The 22,893-nt window shown below is 34.4% G+C and overlaps 1 protein-coding gene and 1 long non-coding RNA gene across 35 annotated transcripts in view; one reads left to right on the plus strand and one right to left on the minus strand.

Annotated features, from left to right (window-relative positions):
- The window catches only part of CAPS2-AS1 (CAPS2 antisense RNA 1), a 40,096-nt gene that overhangs the window by 9,143 nt on the left and 8,060 nt on the right, over positions 1-22,893 (plus strand). The gene's annotated exons all lie outside the window — the stretch shown is intronic.
- CAPS2 (calcyphosine 2) overlaps positions 8,647-22,893 on the minus strand; it is a 114,923-nt gene continuing 100,676 nt past the window's right edge. For 27 of the 33 annotated variants that reach the window (NR_149156.2, NR_149155.2, NR_149161.2 and 24 more), the window contains 4 exons: positions 22,289-22,443; positions 17,629-17,748; positions 14,919-15,015; positions 8,647-11,733 (listed from right to left, as the gene is read on the minus strand). Coding sequence is in view for 25 of the 33 variants with exons in the window: in NM_001355026.2 (NP_001341955.1) it covers positions 11,558-11,733; positions 14,919-15,015; positions 17,629-17,748; positions 22,289-22,443 (548 nt within the window). In the remaining 8 variants the exon portion in view is untranslated. Of the gene's footprint in view, positions 11,734-14,918; positions 15,016-17,628; positions 17,749-22,288; positions 22,444-22,893 lie in introns of those variants that run through there. The other 6 variants (NM_001355027.2, NM_001286547.3, NM_032606.5 and 3 more) reach the window with 4 other exon arrangements.

Consider the following 22,893-nt stretch of genomic DNA (forward strand, 5'->3'; position numbering starts at 1 on the left):
AAAAAGTTAAGCCTGGATTTCAATTCTTCCAGGACTTTTCAAGTTTAAGTTTCCCTTCCCACCTACATCAATTTTGTAATGACCTGGGAACCCCATTTCTCCTCTTCTTAAAACACTGACTACAAGTATAGTATACTATAGTATAGTATAGTATAGTATAGTATAGTATAGTATAGTATAGTATAGTATAGTATATGGTAACGCACTCTGCTAAAATTTCTCAAGAAAATAGCTACAAAGGAAGATGTATTTACTAACAAACTATGTCTGTTACTTTCATGATTAGAATTTATTCCTAGGTCAGGTAAGTCTCAAGCAGAAGGTGAATGACAGGGAGTTGGAAATGGATTTGGGGAATAAATAAGTAAGTAGGATGGGGGTTAAGGACTCATCAACCTTTGGATAGTCAGGTTTACACTAAAAACAAAAAGACTACTTTTTCCAGGCACTAAGTTCTCTGCAATTAGTAATAGGTGCTATGGCATTGTGTGAAATGAGGAGGCAGGACAGAAACAGCAGAAAGGCAGAGGTGACTGTATTAGTTTGCTAGGGCTTCCTTAACAAACTACCACAAACTATTCACCTTAAACATAGGTATGTTTATTGTCTTACATTTCTGGAGGCTAGAAGCCTAAAATCAATACGTGGGCAGGGTTGGTTCTTTCTGAGAGCTGTGAGTGAAAGATCTGACCCAGGACTCTCACCCTGGCTTACAGATGGCCATCTTCACGTTCCTGCGATGTTTTCCCTGTACCTTTACACAGTCTTCTCCCTGTATATATATTTGTGTCCAAATTTCCCCTCTTAAGACCCCAATCATATTGAATTAGGAACCACCCTCACGACTTCAGTTTAATTTGCTTAACTCAGTGAAGACTGTATCTCCAAATAAAGTTGCATTCTGAGGCACTGAGACTTAGGATGTCAAAATACAAAATTTGGGGCAGGAGGTGTTATAATTCAACCAATAACAGTAACTAAAGCCATTTTGCACACCTATGTTCCAAGAACTTTATATTTTGTCTCATTTCATCCCCTCAGTTTTTAAGGAGAATCACTTTTTGATAACAGAGATCTGAGGCTTATTATTGTGCCTGGCCAAGCGTTTTATTCTGCACAATAATACACTTGACCTCCCTTGAGTGTCTGTAGTAGGCAAGTCACTAAAGTAGAAATAGAAGACATTCTTAATGAAGTATGAGAACCATATATTTAAAATTTTCTCACCACAAAACTTTCAATGGAAAATAAAAATTGATATTGTAACTTGAGGCACTAAATTCAAGGATTTTTTTAGAAATCAAATCCTGAAGCCCATGGTATATTCTTCTAATATTTGTAAAATATTCACATTTTGTTTTTTCTCTGAATAAAGTGCAGTCTGTTTTGAGTCCCCATCCCGTAGGCTGGCAGGTAGGGCTGGGGCTGGTGTGAGTCAATAGAGGCACCTGCCCTTTCATGAAAAATTCAAGAGACACCAAAAAATTCAATAGTCAAGATAAATTTTATTTTAATGTTATATTTTAAAAAATAAAAATTGATCCAAAAACTTTATGTTGAACAAAATATAAAACATTTAAATATAGACAAGATCAGTATGACAGATTTTTCTTTTGCTTCAGTCTCCAATATAGCTCTGTCCATCACTCTTCCTGATTCTGTCTTCATCTACAATATTTTGTTCATTTTGGATCTTTTAAAATTAATGTTAACATTTATATATTAAAATATTATTCATTTGATTGCTAAAGGTGGGGTTTTTTTGGTGCTGCTTTAAATATTATGCATGGGTGTGTGCCTTACTTGCCTCATTGTGACTGTAACCCAGCTGGCAGGACATTCAATATTAATTGTTCAGGGACTGGGCTTTCCTCTGCCAATGATTGATCCCACAGGGGCCTGGAGATCTCACACAAGTCAGAATATTTGGAGTATGGCCTCTGGTCTTCAATTCACAATGGTTACTGTAATGAAGTATCATTATTATGAAAACATTCTCTATTATTTGCTATGTTAAAAAAAAGGGGGGACAAAAATCTTTCTCAACCCTACACTCACCACTAGTTACTGCCCCATAACTCTGTTTCACTTTGAGGTAAAAATCCTCAAAAGGGCCATCTCACAATTATTAAAACCACATTCTCAATTTCGTTTTCTTTTCTTTTCTTTTTTTTTTTTTTTTTTTTGAGACAAGGTCTTTCTGTTGTCCAGGCTGGAGTGCAGTGGCATGGTCACGGCTAACTGTACCCTGGATCTCCTGGGTTCAAGTGATCATCCCACCTCAGCTTCCTGAGAAGCTGGGACTACAGGCCTGTGCCACCATGCCTGACTAATTTTTTTTTATCTTTTTATTTTTTGTAAAGTCAGGGTCTCACTCTGTTGCCCAGGCTGCTCTCAGACTCCTGGACTCAAGCAATCTGCCCGACTTAGCCTCCCAAAGCACTGGGATTACAGGTGTGAGCCACCATGCCTGGTCCTCATTTTTCATTTTCTCTTCAAACCAGTCCAATTTGGTTTTTCTCCACCATTTCATGTTGTCAAATCCAGTGACTGCATGTTTGCCCTCATTTTATTCAACATAGTTTATTATTTCCCATACTTGATTACAGTTTAATTTCTTGGCTTCCATGTCACTATGTTCTTCTGACTTCCCACCCACATCCTTGGCCAACCTGTTTCAGCCTTTTTTGTTGGCCACTTTACTCTTATTATAGTTCTAAATGTATTCTAGGGCTCAATCCTTTGCCATCTTTTCTGTCTATATCATTCCCCAAAGAGCCTCAAGAAGTCTCAAGACTTCAGATGCCACTTATGTACTGATGATTCTGTATCACCAACCCTGGCCTCTTTCCTGAGCTCTTTACTTATAAATCCAATTACTCATTTGACATTTCTATTTAGAAATGTCTTAACCTATGGATAAAGACTCTTAACCTATGGACAAAGCAAGTGTTTGCTTTTTCCTCTCAAACCTGTTTCACCACTAATTTTCCCCATTCTTAGTAAATGGCATCACCACCGCCACCCAGTTGCTCATTCTAGCCGTCATGCTTGCTTCCTCTTTTTCTCTTACAGTACACGGTCCACCTACATGTACTGTTGACACTACCTCTAAAATCACAAATCTAACTACATCTCACCGTCTCCAAAGCTAAAGCCCTAGCTAGTCCAAATTACCATAATCTCAGACTAGGACTATGGAAGTAGCCCCTTAGTAGGTCTCCTAGCCTCCAGCCCAAATCCGTATCTCTGCTAGCTTTCAGAGTGATCTTTCCAAAGTACAAACTCAGATCACAGCACTTCTCTGCTTTTCCTTGGGCTTTGACTATAAATCCAAACTCCTTCTTATGGAGTATTAGGCTTTATATGATCCAATACTTTACTACCTCCCCAATCTCATCTCCTAACATTCTCTTCATCCTAGGGAAACTTTTTTTTCCCTTGAACACACCAAACTCATCGGCACTTCAGGGCCTTATTTACTAACTGTTTCTTGTATCTGGAATGCTCTTTCTCCTCTGCTTTGCCTCATTTAGGTCTCAGATAGAATGTCACCACCTGTAAGAACTTTCCTATTCACTCTCTGCTCGTACTATTTATTTTTTCTTCTTTTTAAAATGATTTAACTAAATTATCTTATTTGTTTACTTGATTACTATCTCCTACCACTATAAATTGAACTGTTTGGGGCAGGCAATTTGTGCATACTGTTCTTGGACGTATCTCTTGAACCTGGAACAATGTCTCATAAAACTACTCAATAAATATGTGTTGAATGAACGAATGGTTAAATTGATAACTGTATGAATTAATAAATTAATTATTCAAGCCCTTATGGTCCCTTGAAGGTGATATCTCTGAAACCTGGGAGTCATATCTGGGATTAACAGCCTGGGTGCCCGGTGTTTGCCACACAGACACTCTCCTCTGAGGGCCCAGAATCTCCCCAGGCAATTGCTGCCAGAAAACAGGGAACATGGCTCTATGCCCTCAGAACCAGAAACACTCTTCCCTTTTCTGTCTTGGAAGAAACTCTCAAAAGTTTCCTTTTCCACTCTAGGTGGGCCTATATCTATTAGAACCTACTCAAGAAAACTCACATACACATGCACACACACACACACACACACACAGATAGGTAAGTGTATTAGTCAAGGTTCTCTAGAGGGACAGAACTAATAGAATAGAGTATACATGAAGGGGACTTCATTAGGAGAGTTGACTCATGTGATCACAAGGTGAAGGCTGTCTGCAAGCTAAGGAGCCAGGAAGCCAGTCCAAGTCCCAAAACCCCAAACGTAGGGAAGCCTATAGTGCAGCCTTTGGTCTGTGGACAAAGGCCTGAGAGGCCCTGGCAAATCACTGATGTAAGTCCAAGAGTCCAAAAGCTGAAGAACTTGGAGTCTGATCTTTGAAAGCAGGAAGCACCCAGCATGGGAGAAAGATGGAGGCCGGAAGACGCCAGTCTAGTTCTTCCACATTCCTCTGTCTGCTTTGATCCTAGCTGCGCTGGCGGCTGATTAGATGATGCCCACCCACACTGAGGGTGGGTCTGCCTCTCCTAGTCCACTGGTTCAAATGTTAATCTCCTTTGGCAACACCCTCACAGACACACCCAGGGACAATACTTTGCATCCTTCAATCCAATCAAGTTGACACTCAATATTAACCATCACAGTAAGGTTCAGATTCTGAATTTAGTTCTTCACAATTTCTGCCTCAGACTATGAGACAACAAAGATAAAATCTTGCCTGACTTATTGGAATTGAGCTGGAGGGTTCTCTTTTATTCTATCAGATCACTTTATTCCACACAACTTAGATCATATAGACTTACTGTATTATTTTTCTTTTAATATCTCAGAAGAATTTTGTCAACTGTGGGTCATATTAACTCCTCAGTATATTTGACAAAATGTTTTTAATATTCTTGCTCTTATTCAAATTCTATGTAAGGATTTGCTCTACTTACTATTATAAACACACATACACACAAATTCTATTTAAGGATTTGCTCTACTTACTATTGAAAACACACACACACACACACACACACACAATTTAGCAATTGAAACCAACCATTTTACTTTGTTCACAAGAATATTGAAGAGCTTGGCTGCATAGTTCTCACTTGGGATCTTTTAGGTGAATGTAGTAAGGTGTTGATTAGAGGTGCAATCAACCCAAGACATTTCACTTACATGTAGACAATTGAGGTTAGCTCTCAGCTGAGAGGTCAGCTCTAGCTGTTAACCAGAGCACCTATATGTGGCCCCTCTAGTTTGGCGGTCTCAGGTAGTCCGACTTCTTACCTGGTGGCTCAAGTGTCCCAGCAAACAAGGCAGAAACTACATTGCATTTTTTTTTTTTGCCTAGTCTGGAAAGTAACACAGCATCACTTTAGATACAATCTAGTGACTGCCAGAGACTACTAACAAGTCACCCAGATTCAAGCAGAGGGGACACAGAGCCCATCTCTTGATGCTAAGCCAAGTTCACTATGTAAGAGTATATGGGATGAGAGATACTACTGCAGCTCTGTTTGGAAAACACATGTTACAGAATTCAGGATCATCAGTGGTCTTAGTGTGTACACCAGAGAAAATAGCAATGCTGCCTAAGTTCTTTAAAGACAAAATTAGCCTCACATATGTATCATTTTCCAGTTAATTTGAATAACACCAATTTTGTTACTAACTCCTTTTTTAAGCTGCCACCTTGTTACATGCTTTGAAGGAAAAGAGTTAATAGCCCTAATGCAAGGTTTTGATTTTCTTTCATGGATGCTGCTGAAGAAAGATAATTAATAATAATGAGAGGCTTATTAAATTCAGGAGGAAGTGGTGGCATACAAATTATTCCTACCTAGTAAAAATATGTTTTTAAAAGAATAGCTCTTATAATTGCCATTCAGGATAATCAGGGAAAAAAAAAAGAAAAGCTTTTAATTAATTGAAGAAAACAGAGGAAATAGAGTATTCAGAATATACATATGTGTGTGTGTGTGCACACATGTTAGACTGCGGTAAGTACTATATCTATATCTACATCTCTGTTATATCCATATCTATCTATATTCCATACTCGCATCAACCTGCAGTTGAAGTAGAGACTCAATAGCTTCCCAAAGTCATGCAGCTAATTTGTAGAAGAGCTCAAGTCTGAAGTCAGTATTCAGTGATTTCAAAGCCTGTGCTCATTCCACATCATTTATATTAAAATACTAATATAAGTACATACTTTTTCTTAATAAAATGGTCATCTGAATGCTTCCTCAAAATAACTTTTCATTTATAACATGCTTTCTAAAAAGTTCCTCGATAAAACTCTTCAGCTCCTAGATAAATATGCAACTTTCATAAGTGAAACACGATTTCCTTGAAACACAGTCATTTGTTTCATATCGGCTTTATCATCATTAAAAATTCCCAGGAAATTCAACATGTATTTGTGAAGGTGAGAATCTTTACACTTTATAATTAAATTCATTTAGACATGGCTTGGAAGTCCCATCCTAATCTGATAAAAGGGAAAGTTAAAAGCAACAAGGAACTTGATTTTTTTCTTTCCTTGAATAAAATTTGTCCACTGGATAGGTAATTGCTTCTTCAAATCCTTCCAAATGACTTTACTTTGCTTGGATATCCAAAAATTATACAAATCAGCTTATATAAGATTAAAGAGAGAAATCTGAAAATGTATATCCATTAGTACATTTTCACAATTTATACAATCAAATCTCCAAAATCTTTACCATTTCAGTATTTTATATTAAAATACTGTCATTCCATTTCAGTATTTTATATTAAAATACTGTCATTCCATTTCAATACCTTAATAAATCATATGTTTTCAGAATAGTGAATTATTATTACTCCCCTAGGATGACATATGCAGGTCTTAAATGCTCTGCTGCACCTAGTTTAGGCCCAAGTTGTATCAATTATGGACTTCTGGTATTTGTATCTTTAACTTTACTACTTTAGGCACTGTATATGCCTAAATGCCATGCCATTTTTGCGTCTGTGATGCATACTACAGTGTCTTAACAGAGAACTGCAGCTATGAACTGACTTAAGCCAATTAAACCATTCACAAGTAATAGGTTCCTTTTGGTAGGTAACCATGGCCCTCTCTGCAAAAAAGTCTTTGAGGTAGGTGGAAATTAGCTACCCCATCCCTTACTTCTAGGTTGTAGTAACATACATTTGAGAATAAGTTCTGCCACATAAACATTTGTTAAACAAACATTTCTTAGCAAAGAGGCCAAAAAAGTTTACACAACCTGTTCTGTAAAATCAGTGCTATCCCAGCAGTTTGTCCTTTAGAGACTTCAACCATAACTCTGCTTGAAAGGTTCACCAAGGAAGTAGCAGCAACATTCCAGGACAGGATCTGCTTACTTTATTATGAGTCGAACAACCAGAAGTCTTTCTAATCCATGGGTGGACCAAGATTCCTTTAAGGCTCTAAGAGCACACTATTTTCATGGATGGAATTAATTATGCTTAGAAGCCTAATTAGCTAGGTATCAGATGTTGACCGAGTTCCAAAAAATGGAAGTGAATATAGTAGCCCCTACGTAGTGAGGCTTTGTGGAAAAGTGGCCAGCTAGAACATGCATTCTGTGCATTATTAGGGTAACTTACAGCTTCCATAGGTGAATTTTGCACAAAATTGCATGTTCATACTATTTACCTGGAGTCTACTAAAGTGTTTTGATGCAAAAGTGCTCCAAAACAAGAACTCTGACAATTTCTGCTCAATAAATCACACATTTACCCAGCTGACTAATAATTGATTTAACGCCTACCCCATGTCAGACACTGCTAGACACCCACCAGGATCACAAAGCTGAATAAGATATTGTTCTTACCTTCAAGAAGTTTACAGTCTAGTGAGAGAAACACAAGCAGAGTTATGAGTACAGCAGAAAGTGATGAATGCTAGAGTAAAGGTACAGCCAGGGTGCCAATGGGATCCCAATATATCAGATTCAAGAGTTTGTCTGATTTAACTTTTCAGAAGACATTATTCTTAAGGTAGTATTTGAAGATCAGTATGAATTAATTTAATGCACTAAGTGCAGAAAATAATTTTGGATAAAAGTAGCAGAACAGATATGAAAGCGCAGAGGCTGGAAATCTCACAATCCATTTTAAAGGCTGTTACATAGTTCAGAATGACTGGAAGAATGTGGGGAGTGAGCTGAGTATAGGGAGATGAGCTTAAGAAAACCAGATCTTTTAGGTTTTATGTGTTAAGGTCAGAGATTGAACTTTTCTGAGAGATATGAGGTATCAGGGAAGAATTTTATTCAGGAAGTAATGTATATTGTAAAAGGGCATTCCAACATCAATGGGTTCAAACAAGATTGAGAAGGAGGCAGAGTTGATGAGGGGGAGTACACATGAGAAGTGGTAAGAATTTGAACTAAGGCATAAGCATTGAAAACAGTGAACGAGAGAGATTTAAACAACCAATGGATAAATTCAAGAACCAATAGCACCTGAGACTGAGTGGATAATAGAGAGTGTGAGAAAAATCTAGAATATCTCAGAGCCTTGGCCTACTGCAAGGGTAGTGCCACTCACCCTGTACAAACAACTGACTAGCAGAATAAATAATGATTAAGTGCACAGTGGCTCCAATATGAAACATTTATTCTTTATTAAGTACATCCAAGAAATCAGTTTACCTCAGAAGTTTATAGAACTTTAAAATAAAAATGGAACGATATGTATGACAAGAGCCTCTTCTCATGATCAGAAACGAATACATCCATGTCCACCCTGCAGATTGTCTTTGCTCTTCTCTTGCTTGGCTTATTTTATATATGCCCATTACCTTCTATTTCTTTGTTTTAAGCGCTTTCTTTTTTTTAAGCATTTTCATGTTTGTCCTTGCTGGTCAACCTAGTAGTGATTATAGTTTATCAGGGTACATGTTTTATATTTGCAAGCACTACAAACTATAATCTCATAAAAGCATGTTACATAATCTGCAGTAAACATAGCCTAATGTACACAATTCTCTCCTGAAATACTTGATAACAAACAACTTAAACTGGAAGTCAAAAGTAATATGTAAAATAAGATATGATCTACAGCTGTATCAAGATTATTAATTACTCTAAGTGACTGCCTCTATGCAGAGTCGCTGGTTCATTAGCACATATATTTATATACTATAAAATTTAAAACAGGGACATACATGTTTAACTATAATGTGATTGCTCCATCATGCAAATATGTATGTCCTTTCCATTAAAAGTTAGCTTAAAATTCCTATATAATATACCTTGTCTTTTTAATAAAATGTTTTTCCTTAAAATTCTCAACTTTTATTTTTAAAATATAAAAACAGAAAAATCAGTATATACAATTCCATAAACAGTATGGTTAACTGAGAAAGCAATTATATAGCATACAAGCAAGTAACTTACAAAGACATAGAGATCTATAAAATATACATAACTATAAAATTCATGTAACAGCATTACAACATATAATTTAATATTTTAACATTTTCAAAAGGTCTTTTAGAATTACAAAGACTATTAAGCATAGGATTTCAAAAGTCAGTTGTGTTGTGGATGTTTGAAATGTCACTTCTCTTAAATGCTCTTTTATTAAGTTTAACACTAAATAACAGATTTTACTATACCAAAATCAAAGAAGAATGCAGGCAGTCAGGCAAATCCAAAAGCAGAATGATTTACTGTGTCACCAATTCTAACAAAATACACCAAAAAAAATCTCATAAATAGAGCTATTTCCTACAAATAACCACATGTGAATGCTTATGTTAGGAAGATTAAGATTAATACTAAGAGTATGCTGTCATGTTAACACGTTACATTCCAAAAGTAGCTTCCCTTTTTTTTTTTTTTTACAGTATAACAGACTATACATTTTCTGATTATAGTAACAGAAAAATGTGACATGCCAACATTAAGAACAGGTTTCTTAAGAACTAAATAAAAATTATCAATGAAAAACACTATATGCATATTGAGCACCCCCAGTATTAGTCATTTTTAACAAGAACAATTTGTAGGGTTTAAGATGTCTATAGTTGGATAAATTTTTCCAAGAAAAAGATATGTGACAAAAATAGTGTTATAGACTTATTTCTGCCAAAATGTCTTCTAGCATATTGTTTTAATTTTAATAACCTAATTTTTAAAAAAATCAAGAAATAAAGAATTTAGCCAGTGAAAATAGCACTAGAGGTTTACACATATTTTCCCTCTCATGTTTTAGTATTAAGTTTTAGTACCTTCTCACATCTTGAAAAGTGCAACTTTGAATTTGTTGGGTTCACATGTATCACACTTCTCATGTTGCTGCCAAGTATAGATGGATACAGTGATATGTCTAAAGTCATATTCTACAAAGTAAATATTTTCATTTTGAATCACTTATTTTTTCTAATTTATGTTATATTAACATAGAAAATTTAAAATTATGAAGTTGAAAACAACTCATAAAGTTGTCTCTTTTCTCTGTATTCCCAGGAAGAAATGACTAGCAAAGAATTTAGAAAGAATGATTATAATACATGTAACTATTAAATAACATATATTTAGAAGGAAATGTTTCAATTGTTTGTTATACTAAAACAGATGTTTAGAATATCATACATTCATTTTAGGATACAAAATATGCTTTCACATTTTAGGCAATAATTACTGAACTATTCCTTGGATTCATATATGCAACAATATACTTTTAGGATCTTTGTTTAATAAGATAATGTATTGATTTTAATAAAGAACATTTCCCTTTCATATTGCTCAATAACAATCGTATGCTGGTAAAAAGGATTACAGTTAAAAAGCAGAATAAAAGAACAAATACAACTGGGCATTAGAATAACTACATTGTGCTCTATTTAACCAACAACAGTACATAATTTAGAAGACAGATTTAAAAGACAAGTCAGTATTTAAATGAGCATCATGGGGTAAACCTCCATCATTTGAAATATTCTATATACAGAAAACATCTATAATCACACTGCTTGAAAAATTTCTCTTGCATATCCTTTAATATTTTCATGTGTTAAAAACACATTGAATTATCTCACTGGCTTTGGGCCCAATTCTAATTTATCAAATTGACCATGGTGGCAAATATATTCTGAGGAAGAGGTAGCAAAAAACAATGTGAAAGGACAGGAAACTTGGTTAATAAATAGATGTTGCCATATTGTTTGATGCAGATGTAACTTTCCTACTGAAGTTAATAAAAAATGACCTCTAAAATATACGCAAGATAAGTAATAAACCAAAAAGATATCTTTACAAATGTAAGGACATGTGAACAGGCATACACATGCACAAACACTAACACACCCCTACATCTATCTTTCTGGATAGTTCTCTTTCCAAATTCAACATTTTTGAGAAAACAAAACAAAACAAAACAAACAAACAAGAAACCAGAATAAAGGAAGTCCTAGGAAAATATATTCCAGTGTTTGATCATCCTTTACATTGATATCATCTCTCCAATAAAATGCTTAGTGTTGATGACATATGTATTATTAAAGACTAAATCCCCCATGGAGTACGTAAGATGTTAACAAAGTCTTCATCATCTACTATTCCTATACTTAAACCTTCATAGTAATCTTCAAATTCACCATATGACACTTCATCAGACTTGCTGCAGGCAACTTTTAATGTTTCTAGAAAGGATGATTTGATTTCTTCCTCTGTTGAATGGCCTATAAAATAGTACTGAGTATGAAACAGTTTCCTGAAAAGTTCAGTGAAATGACTGATGATGATAAAGGAATACTTAATCATCTTATGAAATACTTTCAACAATTTGAAATCTTTTGTCAAACTACCAGCCAATTTATTTACACATGAACTGGAATTATTTCATCTCATTCGATTTGCCACTCCTTCCCTGCCCCCTGCTCTCCTGCACTGATCTATCTCCAGGATCCCAGCACAGAACACAGTTTTTTTGATCATAAATTTTTAAAAAGAACAGAGGAATTGAAAGATGAAAGGAAGCTATAGTGACTGGTCAGATAACACTGAAAAGAGAATAAACAGAGGCCCATATATAATAGTAGAAAAAGGGTCAAAAATTTCTATGTGACCCTCTAAAACGTTTTAAAGTCAGGTTATGCTTTAAATAACAGGCTTAGATGGGAATACTACTCAAACCATTTGTCTAATGGGGTGGACAAAATTAAGGTGAGAGTTAATTTTTTTTCCCTCAAACCAGAGGTTCTCTAATGGACTTAGACAATAATGCATTGCAAAGGGTCTTTCAAACTAAAGGAATGAAATCTACTTTGAATATTAAGAAGTTTGCTTTCTTTTAAAAACATACACAAGAAATAGAGAAAAAGTCATTACTTTATAAAATACAAGTTGAATGTAAAAAGACTGAATAATGGTGCTACGTAGAGATGGTAATATAAAATAATAAAATGAAGTTTTAATTGAATGTTAGTCAAGGCTAAAAATTAATCAAGATCCAAACTATATGAAAACATAGATTTTGGTAGAAATTTCCATCTTTGTTTACCAGCCATACTTTTGAACAGAGGAGTTTTAACACAGTTTTTTTTCTGAGGAAACATTTTTCACTCAAATTTATATTTCAAATAGCGAAGAATTTCATACCTCCTTTATACCCCTCACCCAGGAAATATCTACCTCCTATCACCTATAACTAAATTTTTTTCAGTCCTCTCGGAGACCAGAAAATATTTACAGCAAAAAATGTTATATTTCTAAAACTATTATACAGAAATACATTTGGGATATACCATTTCTATTAAACCTTAAAATACTTTTATCTAATATATTACTTAAGCAAATTTAAGAAGGAATATTTTCTATAGTTAAAATTAAATTGTATGTGGTATAAGAGCTTTACCTTAAAATCAATTGTAAATTGTGAACAAACTATATCCCAGAGGTGCGCATGTGAATAGATTATAATTTGCAATAATAAATAATAATGGGGTACTTTTTTTCTTCTTTGAAATACAGTGACAAGTTTTCTTCTATTTAGGAATATTTAGCTTGCCTGTTGTCATTTTTAATATGAACGCAAAGACAAATTATGGAATTTTTGAAACCAAAAAAGGCTTTCCCAACAACAACAAAAATAAAACCCTCATCAAAAATTCCATGACACATAATAAAACTGAAGCTATTTTAGCAACCTAAATAATATTATTAGATGAGAAAAGAGAAAGAAAAAAATACATGATGTTAAACTATTTCGTTCTTATATTTAGTATGACTAATTAAGAGAAACAGATAATGACGTGTTTAAAGGAAAAAAATACACTAGCAACAATTAAACATACACTAAAAATTCTCATAGAGTAGCTGTAGTTTATTTAATGTTATGAATAAGTAAATCAAACTATTTCGACAAGAAATAGATAATTAGAAATTTGGAATCCAGTGATGATTAGTTTTAATCTTCATAACCAAATCTCATGATTTCATTTCATACTTAAAAGTAATAAATTAACCATATATGAGGGTTAATGATGACGAGAAACCAAAGTAATTACAGTGTATCTCTTTTAATAGTAAGGAATAAAATTCTAAAAATAATAGTATTCTATAGTATTTAGCAGTACAGAATTAAACTTATAAGTTGAAAAGAAATTGCTCATAAAATATTGTCAATAAATATTCCTTAAAGATGGACAATCAATAAATATACAAATGTAGGTTTAACCTCCCTAGTAATGAAGGAACTCCATGTAAAATGGGTTTTTTTAACCCATCAGACTGGCAAAGTGAAATTTTTTGGCAAAGTTGTGGAGGAAAAGAACTCTTCAACAAATGGCTATATAATTTAATATAGTCATTTTACAATGTAATTTGGAAGTATCACTTAAAATTTTAAATGCAGACATCCCAGTAATTCTAGGTATTAATATCACTCCAGGGAAGCAGTAGAAAACAGGCCTAAAGAGTCACAAATAAGCACATTTATTGCTTCATTAGTTGTTGATCAATAATTAGAACTTAAAATCTAACAATAAAAGAATGGCTAGGTAAATGATAGTATATTGATTCATAAAAAGAATAATATACTGCAAGATAAAAAATAAGGTGGCTCAATGTGGATTAACATATAAAGAACTCCAAAACATACTTGTGAGTGTAAAAAGCAAATTATATAACATTATCTTCAGTGCGCCTTTCATGTCAAAAAAACTTCAAAAAGTATTAAATATTTATAGCATGCACATAGCCATGAAAATTCATAGAGTAAGTAAAATTCATAATGTATTAACTGAAATATATATATGCTAAATGATAATTTTGACTTCTATGGAAGGAAATGTAAAGAGGAGAGTTGTGGTAGTCAAATGCTTTCTTTATAAAAAGCATGCACTTATAAAACAATTATGTAAAAAAGTTAGAAAAAATATAGTAGGATATAAATCTCCAGAGTTACTTTAGGGAATTTACAATATCCTCAAATTTTGATAGATATATGTATGTTCATTCTATGTATAGCTCCATCCCTAGAGAAAGACACTCCTTCATTCTGCTTAAATCCTTAAGTATGGATAACTATATAAGCAGATACAGTAAAAATAACTCTGAGAACCTGCATATGTATTTATCTATTTTCTAAACCTATTTCATTCTTTTTAACTTAAATCCCTTACTATCTCCTAAGTAGGAAATGAGTTCTATATTGATAATAAATATCAAATAATCAAATGAGTATGGGCAATAGACCTAAGAATTTTTAAATGAAGAAAGGCAAATAGTTCATAAGTTTCCAGTTCAAAAAAATAGTTTATTTCCTCCCTAATGGCCTCAGTCTAAGGTTTAAATTAATATAAAGATATTATCTTTATTAAGTAACATTTTCAAAGTCCAATGCATTTTAACTCCGAATAATTACCTGAAATTACTTGAGAATGCTTCTTTGCACAGTAACATTTTCTTATGTTTATAATAGGCACACTGCCACTTTTGTTGAAATCCAGTTTCATAAAGGCCTAAACAGACAAATATTATTATTATTAGTTTGTTGGTTGGTTGTTTTGCTTTGCTTTGAGACAGAGTCTCGCTCTGTCACCCAGACTGGAGTGCAATGGCGTGATCTCAGCTCACTGCAATCTCCGCCTCCCAGGTTCAAGTGTTTCTCCTGCCTCAGCCTACCGAGTAGCTGGGACTACAGGCGCCCGCCACCACACCTAGCTATTTTTTGTATTTTTAGTAGAGGCGGGGTTTCGCCATGTTGGTCAGGCTGATCTCAAATTCCTAACCTCAGGTGACCCACCCGCCTCGGCCTCCCAAAGTACTGGGATTATAGGCATGAGCCACCACGTCCGGCCTGGCAAATGTTATTTTTTAAGTAAAATTATTAGACATAGGAATCTAATATTCTATTTTACAGTAGGTTATTTCTGAGCTATAAACAAGACATTTTAAAAGTACTATACTGATACACAAAAGAACAATTATAAATACAGGAGGAAAGATAGTGAAGCAAGATATTAGGAAATCTGTACTCAATTAGAAAGTTCTACCACTTTCTAGCATCCTGACCTTGAGAAAGTAACCTGACCTCTATTTCCATGGCCTCTCTCCCCTGAAAACTGAAGAGATGGGTAAAAGACCTCTCAGGTAACTTCCATCTCTAGGATTCATATGAAACGCATAAATGGCCAAAAGAGATTGCCAAGACGAATATTTTAACTCAAGAAGTGAATTTGCAAATATTTCCTCCCTAAAATCAATGAAAAAGTGAAATACCTTTTAAATGAGTTATGTTACTCTATTTCTTGAAATTTAATACACTTTTTAAAATGTAGTTGTGCTATTGTTCCTCTAATTCAGTGTAGCTCTATCATAAGATATCATGAAATATTTCACTGGGAAGAGTATTCACTACTTAGAAAGACACAAGCTACCCAAAGCAACATTCTGCATTCGTAGTGGGGTCAAAACTAGAATCAAGTCTGGTTATTCATAATATTGCATTCACAGAAATATGGAAGCTGTTGTAGATTGACTTGTGTTCCTCCAAAATTCATATGTTGAACCTAATCCCCAGTAGCTCAGAATATGACTGTATTTGAAGGTAGGACCTTTAAAGGGATAGTTAAGTTAAAATGAAATCATTAGGGTGGCCCCTTATCCAATATGACTGGTGTCTCCTTATAAGAAGGCAGTAGGGCCAGGCACGGTGGCTCATGCCTGTAATCCCAGCACTTTGGGAAGCTGAGGTGGGTGGATCACCTGAGGCTTCAGGAGTTCAAGACCAGCTTGGCCAACATGGAGAAACCCTGTCTCTACTAAAAATACAAAAATTAGCCAGGCATCGTGGTGCGTGCCTATAATCCCAGGTACTTGGGAGGCTGAGACAGGAGAATCGCTTGAACCCAGAAGGTGGAGGTTGCAGTGAACCAAGATCACACCACTGCCCTCCAGCCTGGGCAACAGAGCAAGACTCCACCTCAAAAAAATAAATAAATAAAAGATAGTAGGACACAACACAGACAAAGGGAAGACCATGTGAGGACACAGAGAACAGGCAGCCATCTGCAAGCCAAGGAGAGAGGCCTCAGAAGAAACCAAACCTGCTGACACCTTGTTTGTGAACTTCTAACCTCCAGAGCTATGAGACAATAAATTTCTATTATTTCAGTCATCTAGTCTGTGGTATTTTGTTATGGCAGCCCAAGCAAACTAATACAGAACTGTATAACACTTCTCTTGCCCTCTATTCCCATTACTAAGATTTATGAAAGAGACAAGCCTCCAATTTCTACACCAGTTTCTCAAACCTATCACCAGGAAGGACATGGAAAGTACGAATAAGTACACATTTATAAATATTATGTGGTGAATTTGTCTAATTTAAGGTTTTTACTATGTCTCTTGCCCAGTAAAAGTAGAGACTAATTTCTCTATTTGGGATTTCTATAGTTATTTACATTATATAGAATAGCTTTGTTTCAATATTAAGTACATATGCAAAAGAAAAAAGATAACTATAGTTCTCAAAAGTATGCTATAAAAAATGGCTACCAAAATCCAAGTAATACATAGCTTCCTATTAAAGTCAGTACTCCTGTTTTTAATTCCAATTTAACATGATTATCTTAATTTACAAGTTAATATTTATCATGCATATTCTAAAGACCAGAGAAACATTTTTTAGTCATCATCCTAAAACAAAATGACTGGAGTATTGACACTGGAACAGCCACAATGCTAAGAATGGTATATGCATTATCTTATTCAATCTTTACACCAACTCTGTGAGATAGGAAACTGAGGCTTAGGAATATTTTATAATACATATATTCACGTAGCTAGTCATTTATGGAGGCAACAACTTATGGAGCTAGTAATTTGTTAACCAAAATTTGATTTCAAATTTTATTTTCCTTTCATAGTATTTTTCTAAAATATATACACAAGTTATTTTGCTTCATTCTGGGTTGATTTGTATGCATATGGACCTGTTTTCTGTTTTACTAAACCCAACATATAAGTAAATAGATTTAAAACTTTTAAATGGTAATTCATTAAAGTTTTAAAATACTGAACCTAACAATCTATTAAAAATAACAATTTGAAAGATTACTTAACAAAGTTACCTTTCGAACATATGATTTCCTGTATTCATTCATTTCACCAATAATACCACGTTTGAATTCTCCATAATCAACCTTGCCATTGCCATTGTCATTCAGAATTAGCCATGCAGACTCAAAATCCTAGAAACAATCAGAGATAACTGTTGCATTTTTAAGTTACATATCGTCACAACAAAATCATCTTAGTTGTATTTTGTTACATCTTCTGTAGTCCTAGATATAACTCATTTAATAAGAAAATTGAAGAAGCTACATAAAAATCCAATCAAAACCACTAAAAAAGTGATTTAGAGGAATCTGTGGTGAATGGTTCTGTAAAGTTAGGAGCCATTTAGGAATGGCAATAGCTCACAAATTTACTTTTTTAAGTTTTATTTTTGATGGACAAATAATAATTGTATATAGTTATAGGGCACAATATGATATTTCAATACATGTGTACATTGTAGAATAATACAATCATATCTATCATCTTAAATATTTATCATTTATTTGTGACAAGAGCACTTAAAATCCTCCCTTTTAGGTATTTTGAAATATACATTATTATAAACTATAGTTTCCATGCTGTGCAATAGATCACCCAGAACTTAATCCACTGTGTAATGAAAACTTGTACCTTCTGACCAATTTTCCATTTTCCTTGTATACCACCCCTCTCCCCATGCTCTGGTAACAAACTTATCTTTTCAACTTTAATTTATTTCTATATCTATACATCTATCTACCTATAGATATATAGATATGTGTGTGTGTCTGTGTATGTGTGGTTACCATTTACTCAGTTTTGAACATTTAAATACTTTTAATGTATTATATCTGTGTTAATTCAAAAGTCACATCCGGTCCTGGAGTGCTTCCAATGGCATTATAACCACTAATTATATTTCTGCTAGTCTTCATGCTTGAAAATATAGATTTGAATGACTCTAATATTATTCTACAATTTACACTGAAAGGTATAATTTGGAATAAATCCCTTATGCCAGTTTATTCACTTTACCATTACCATTTACTTCTTCATCAAATGCACTATTTAATAGAAAGTTCTAACACAGTTTTCCTTGACAACAAAGAAATTACAGCATCATTTTCTCAAACTCAAGTAAATATATTTTTTCAATGTTTTAATCAAGTTGTTAGCTTTAAATGTGAATGTAGATAAAATACCTAACAAGGTGCTTAGCAAATAATAGGTACTCAAAAAACATCATCTTCCACTCCCTCCTATTTTTTTCAAATAAAACTTTAACTAGAAAAACAAAATCTAAAGATGCCTGCCTTCCCTCAATTCTCAACAACCCCATACATCTTTGTCTATCATAATGTACTGCACATTATGCAGACTTTAAGTGTCTGTGTAGTTAAACTGAAGATGAGCTTGACCTTTAAAATCATGAGTAATATGTACAGGAGAAGACCAATTTGCTCATCCAATTCATGGATTACTAGAATTGAAAGATACTTCTTAAAGCTTAAAAGAAATAATTTTCAAGAATTGAGTAATTTAACATAATTGTCAACAACAAGAAATACATATTTATATTTATATATACTTAAGAGATATAAATATATATACTCTTTCTTTCAAAGATACAGTACACAATGGAAAATAATTACATTTAAAAAAGCTGAAGGAAATCACTAATAGTAACTCTATATAAATTAGGCTTTTTAGGGTACATATCAATTTTTTTAATCTCAAATCAGGGAGAATGGCTGACTATGCCTTCCCACAAACATTCTTGTTTCAAAATTAGACCTAGGTTAGTGATTCTTAAGTTCTTCTTCTCGAGCTGTTTGTATATGCTTATCATTGCATGAGCAGTTTACAGTGATATTACAGAAAAAATATAAAATATTAAAATATATGAGAAAAGGAGGAAGCATGCTCATATTTTCATAATATGTTCCCTCTATGTTAGAAGTCTTATATAATTACTGTAGTTTTTGTTCCTAGATCTAATCATAACAATTTAGCAAATTAATCAAAAAGGGAAGTATTGTTATGATACAGAAAAATTACTAGACGGGAATATGTTTTCTGCGTTCTAGTCCTATATCAGCTATTACTTGTGTGTGATTTTATAAACACATACACACGCAAGCACACACACACAAACACACACATATATATACATATATATATATTATATATATATGTTTTCATCCATAGGACCAGTTCATAATTCCCATTGCCCTTCCTTGTTCTTGTTACAATCTTTTATTATGACAGTTGGGCACTTCAGGCCTTAGAAAATGGAATCTCTCTCTCTCTCTCTCTGACCTTCTCCTGCCCTTCTTTCACCTTAAGCTCCTTTCCCTCTTCAAGGCAGGAATCGTCTCCTGCCTTTCTGTGTTGGAGCTGGCCATAAAATATTCTCTGACCTCCCTTGTCTAATTGTAGGCCATAAGACCCCCATTTCAGAAGGGGTCCTGCCCCCACCATGGAGGAAGGAATGCTGCTCAGAGGCCAAGAAGAGTCAGAACAGGCATTCCTTCCTGGGTTTCCTCCTTCAGTCTATCAGTATTAGGTCATACACTTTTGTCCAATCACATTTCTACACAGTTATGCATGTATCAGTCATGTCTATCCAATGTAGTCTCCATAGAAAAGCCAAGAGGACAGGGTTCAGGGAGCTTCTGGGTAGCTAAGCTTGTGGAGGTTCCTGGAGGGTGGCACCCAGGGAGGGCATGAAAGCTCTGCACTCTTTTCCCGATACTTTGCGTATTCATCTCTTCATCTGTATCCTTTGTAATATCCATTAGAGTAAACCAGTAAATATAAGTTTTCCTGAGTTTTGTGAGCTGCTCCAGCAAATTAATTGAACCCAAGGAGGGGGTGGTGGGAACCCCCAACTCGAAATTAGTTGATCACAAGTTCCAGGGACCCAAACTTGTGACCGGTGCTCTATGCAGAGTGTGTTGGGGGAAGGGGTTGTCTTGTAGAACTGAGATCTCACCCTGTGGGATCTGAGGCTACCTCCAGGTAGATAATGTCAGAATTGAATTGAATTAGAGGCTATCCACTGGGTTTCTACAGCTTGGTATGGGTGGAACCCCCACAAGCATTTGGTTGCAGAAGTATTCTGTGTTGATTATTACTGTGTGAAAGCAGAGGAAACATAGTTTGTGTTATTTTTCTATTCACACTCATGTGATTGTAAGCAAAGACATCAAGGCTTTCTAATTTCCTATTGCTGTTTTGTTATTGTTGTTGTTGTTTTAATCTACAAAACGAAGAGAGGAAGTTAGATGATCCCTAGTATGTATCACTAGGTAGGCAAAAGATTAAACATCATAAAAACCAAAAAGATGGGTATGTCAGAACAATGTTAGGCAACATGATATTGGCACAGAATTGTACAGCTGATATGGCAGATTCCCATGTAATTTTCTTATTTGAGCTTCCAAGCAACTCTAACTATAGCAATTACCTCTGGATTGCTCAGGCAGAGCCCCCCAATCAAAAAAGTTAAAAGACTGGTCCAAGATCATACAGTTCAAATAGCAAAGCTGGAACTTGAACCTAAATGTCCTAAGTTCAATTTACAGTGTTCTTTCTACAAAATACACATCTTGTGACAAGATCATTTGAAGCAAAAGAGAACAATGCAAGAGATCCTTTATCTGAAATCCTTGAGACAAATGTGGTTCATATGCTTTTAGAATAAAATCCAACCCTCTTAGCATGACATGCAAGACTTTAATGTACCAGACATTTCTCTCCATTCTTCTCTTTTCCTTCCTTCCATAAATTTATCCATTCAAACTAATGCATTATCTACTTAACTTTCCATATGCTGGGTTCTATTTCAGATGTTAATAAAGAGCAGGAACACAAAAACACTCTGGTCCCCACCCTGATGAGACTTAATGATCTACTGGCAGGCAGAGTCAGAAAATATTTACAAAGTGGCATGAAAAAAAATAAAATGAGAAATTGGTATAGAAAGGACCAAGGATCAGATGGGAGTGCTCCTTTAGACAGAAGTGTCAGGGTAATGCTCTTGACAGAGAAAGCTGTGGCCTGAATACTAAGAAAACCCAGTATGTGAAGATCTAGTAGAAGATTATTCACAGTGGAGGGAACAGTATATGTGAAGATTATTAATCATTTGCAGTGTCAGAAACAGGCCACACTCCCTTCCCCTCCAAGCTTTCACATGTGTCTCCTTCTCATAAAATACACATTGTCTGATTCACACTCCTTTTTCTCCCTCGTCTGGTTAATTCCTCCTCAACCTTCAAAACTCAGCTTAGATGTATCCTCCTCCAGGCATCCTTCCATGATCTTTGTTCTCCTTCCCCACAACCTGTCTTGGAATCAGGTACCTACCCCATGGTGTTCCAACAACATTCTCCACTGAATACATATTTTGTTTTATGTTCATTGTCCTTCAATTATGGTGATCTTGACAGTACAGAGTATTATCTCAGAGCTTAGCACAATGCCTGGTTATTAAGCTCTTTATAAATATAGGATGGAGCAATGTTTAAACTTTAAAAACCAACAGGGCTTGTAACCTGATAGCTTAACACTGATAAAGGGCATAGAGAAGGAGAAAATAAATGAAAACTAAAATTTCAGTAGAACAGTGAATAATGCCACCTAAGAATAACATATTATCTGCTGCAGAGAATTTTCTGTAGCACATACCTTTTCAGACACTTCTAAGTGAAACACTTTTAGAGCTTGCTTAAAATCTGCCTTATCTAAAAGTCCATTTCCTTCCTTGTCCAACTGTTGAAAATATTTTCCCAATCCAGTCAAAATACGAACACCTCTTTTATGTAGTTTTTCTTTTAGCACATCTGTTCAACAAGAAGAGAGATGAAAACAAATTGTTCCTATGCATAAATGTATAAAGCCGCAGTTATCTTTCATAAGAAAATTAAAGTTGATGTAACTGAAATAAGGAATGTGAATATTCAAACAAATCAAATGTAAGACAAAAGACTTTGGAAAATAGGATGTTTTTAATCAAGAGGATTAAACATAAAATCACATGTAAATATGCCAGAACTATAGCACCACTGTGTGGTGGAAGTGGTATGTTTTTAAAACAGAAAAATACAGTTTCACTTTATCACCAAGAGAATAACCTAAATATTACAAATAAAATCTTAGATTTTGTTGTGTAGACAACCTCTTTAACCACCCCATATCTTTAATCTGTTTTCCTTTTCTTAGTTTTTATCAACTGAATTACAAAATTGATGACAGGCAAGTCACCCAAAAATTATCAGTTCAACATTTTAAAA

Source organism: Homo sapiens, chromosome 12 (genome assembly GCF_000001405.40).
Source record: "Homo sapiens chromosome 12, GRCh38.p14 Primary Assembly".
NCBI classification, from domain to species: domain Eukaryota; kingdom Metazoa; phylum Chordata; class Mammalia; order Primates; family Hominidae; genus Homo; species Homo sapiens.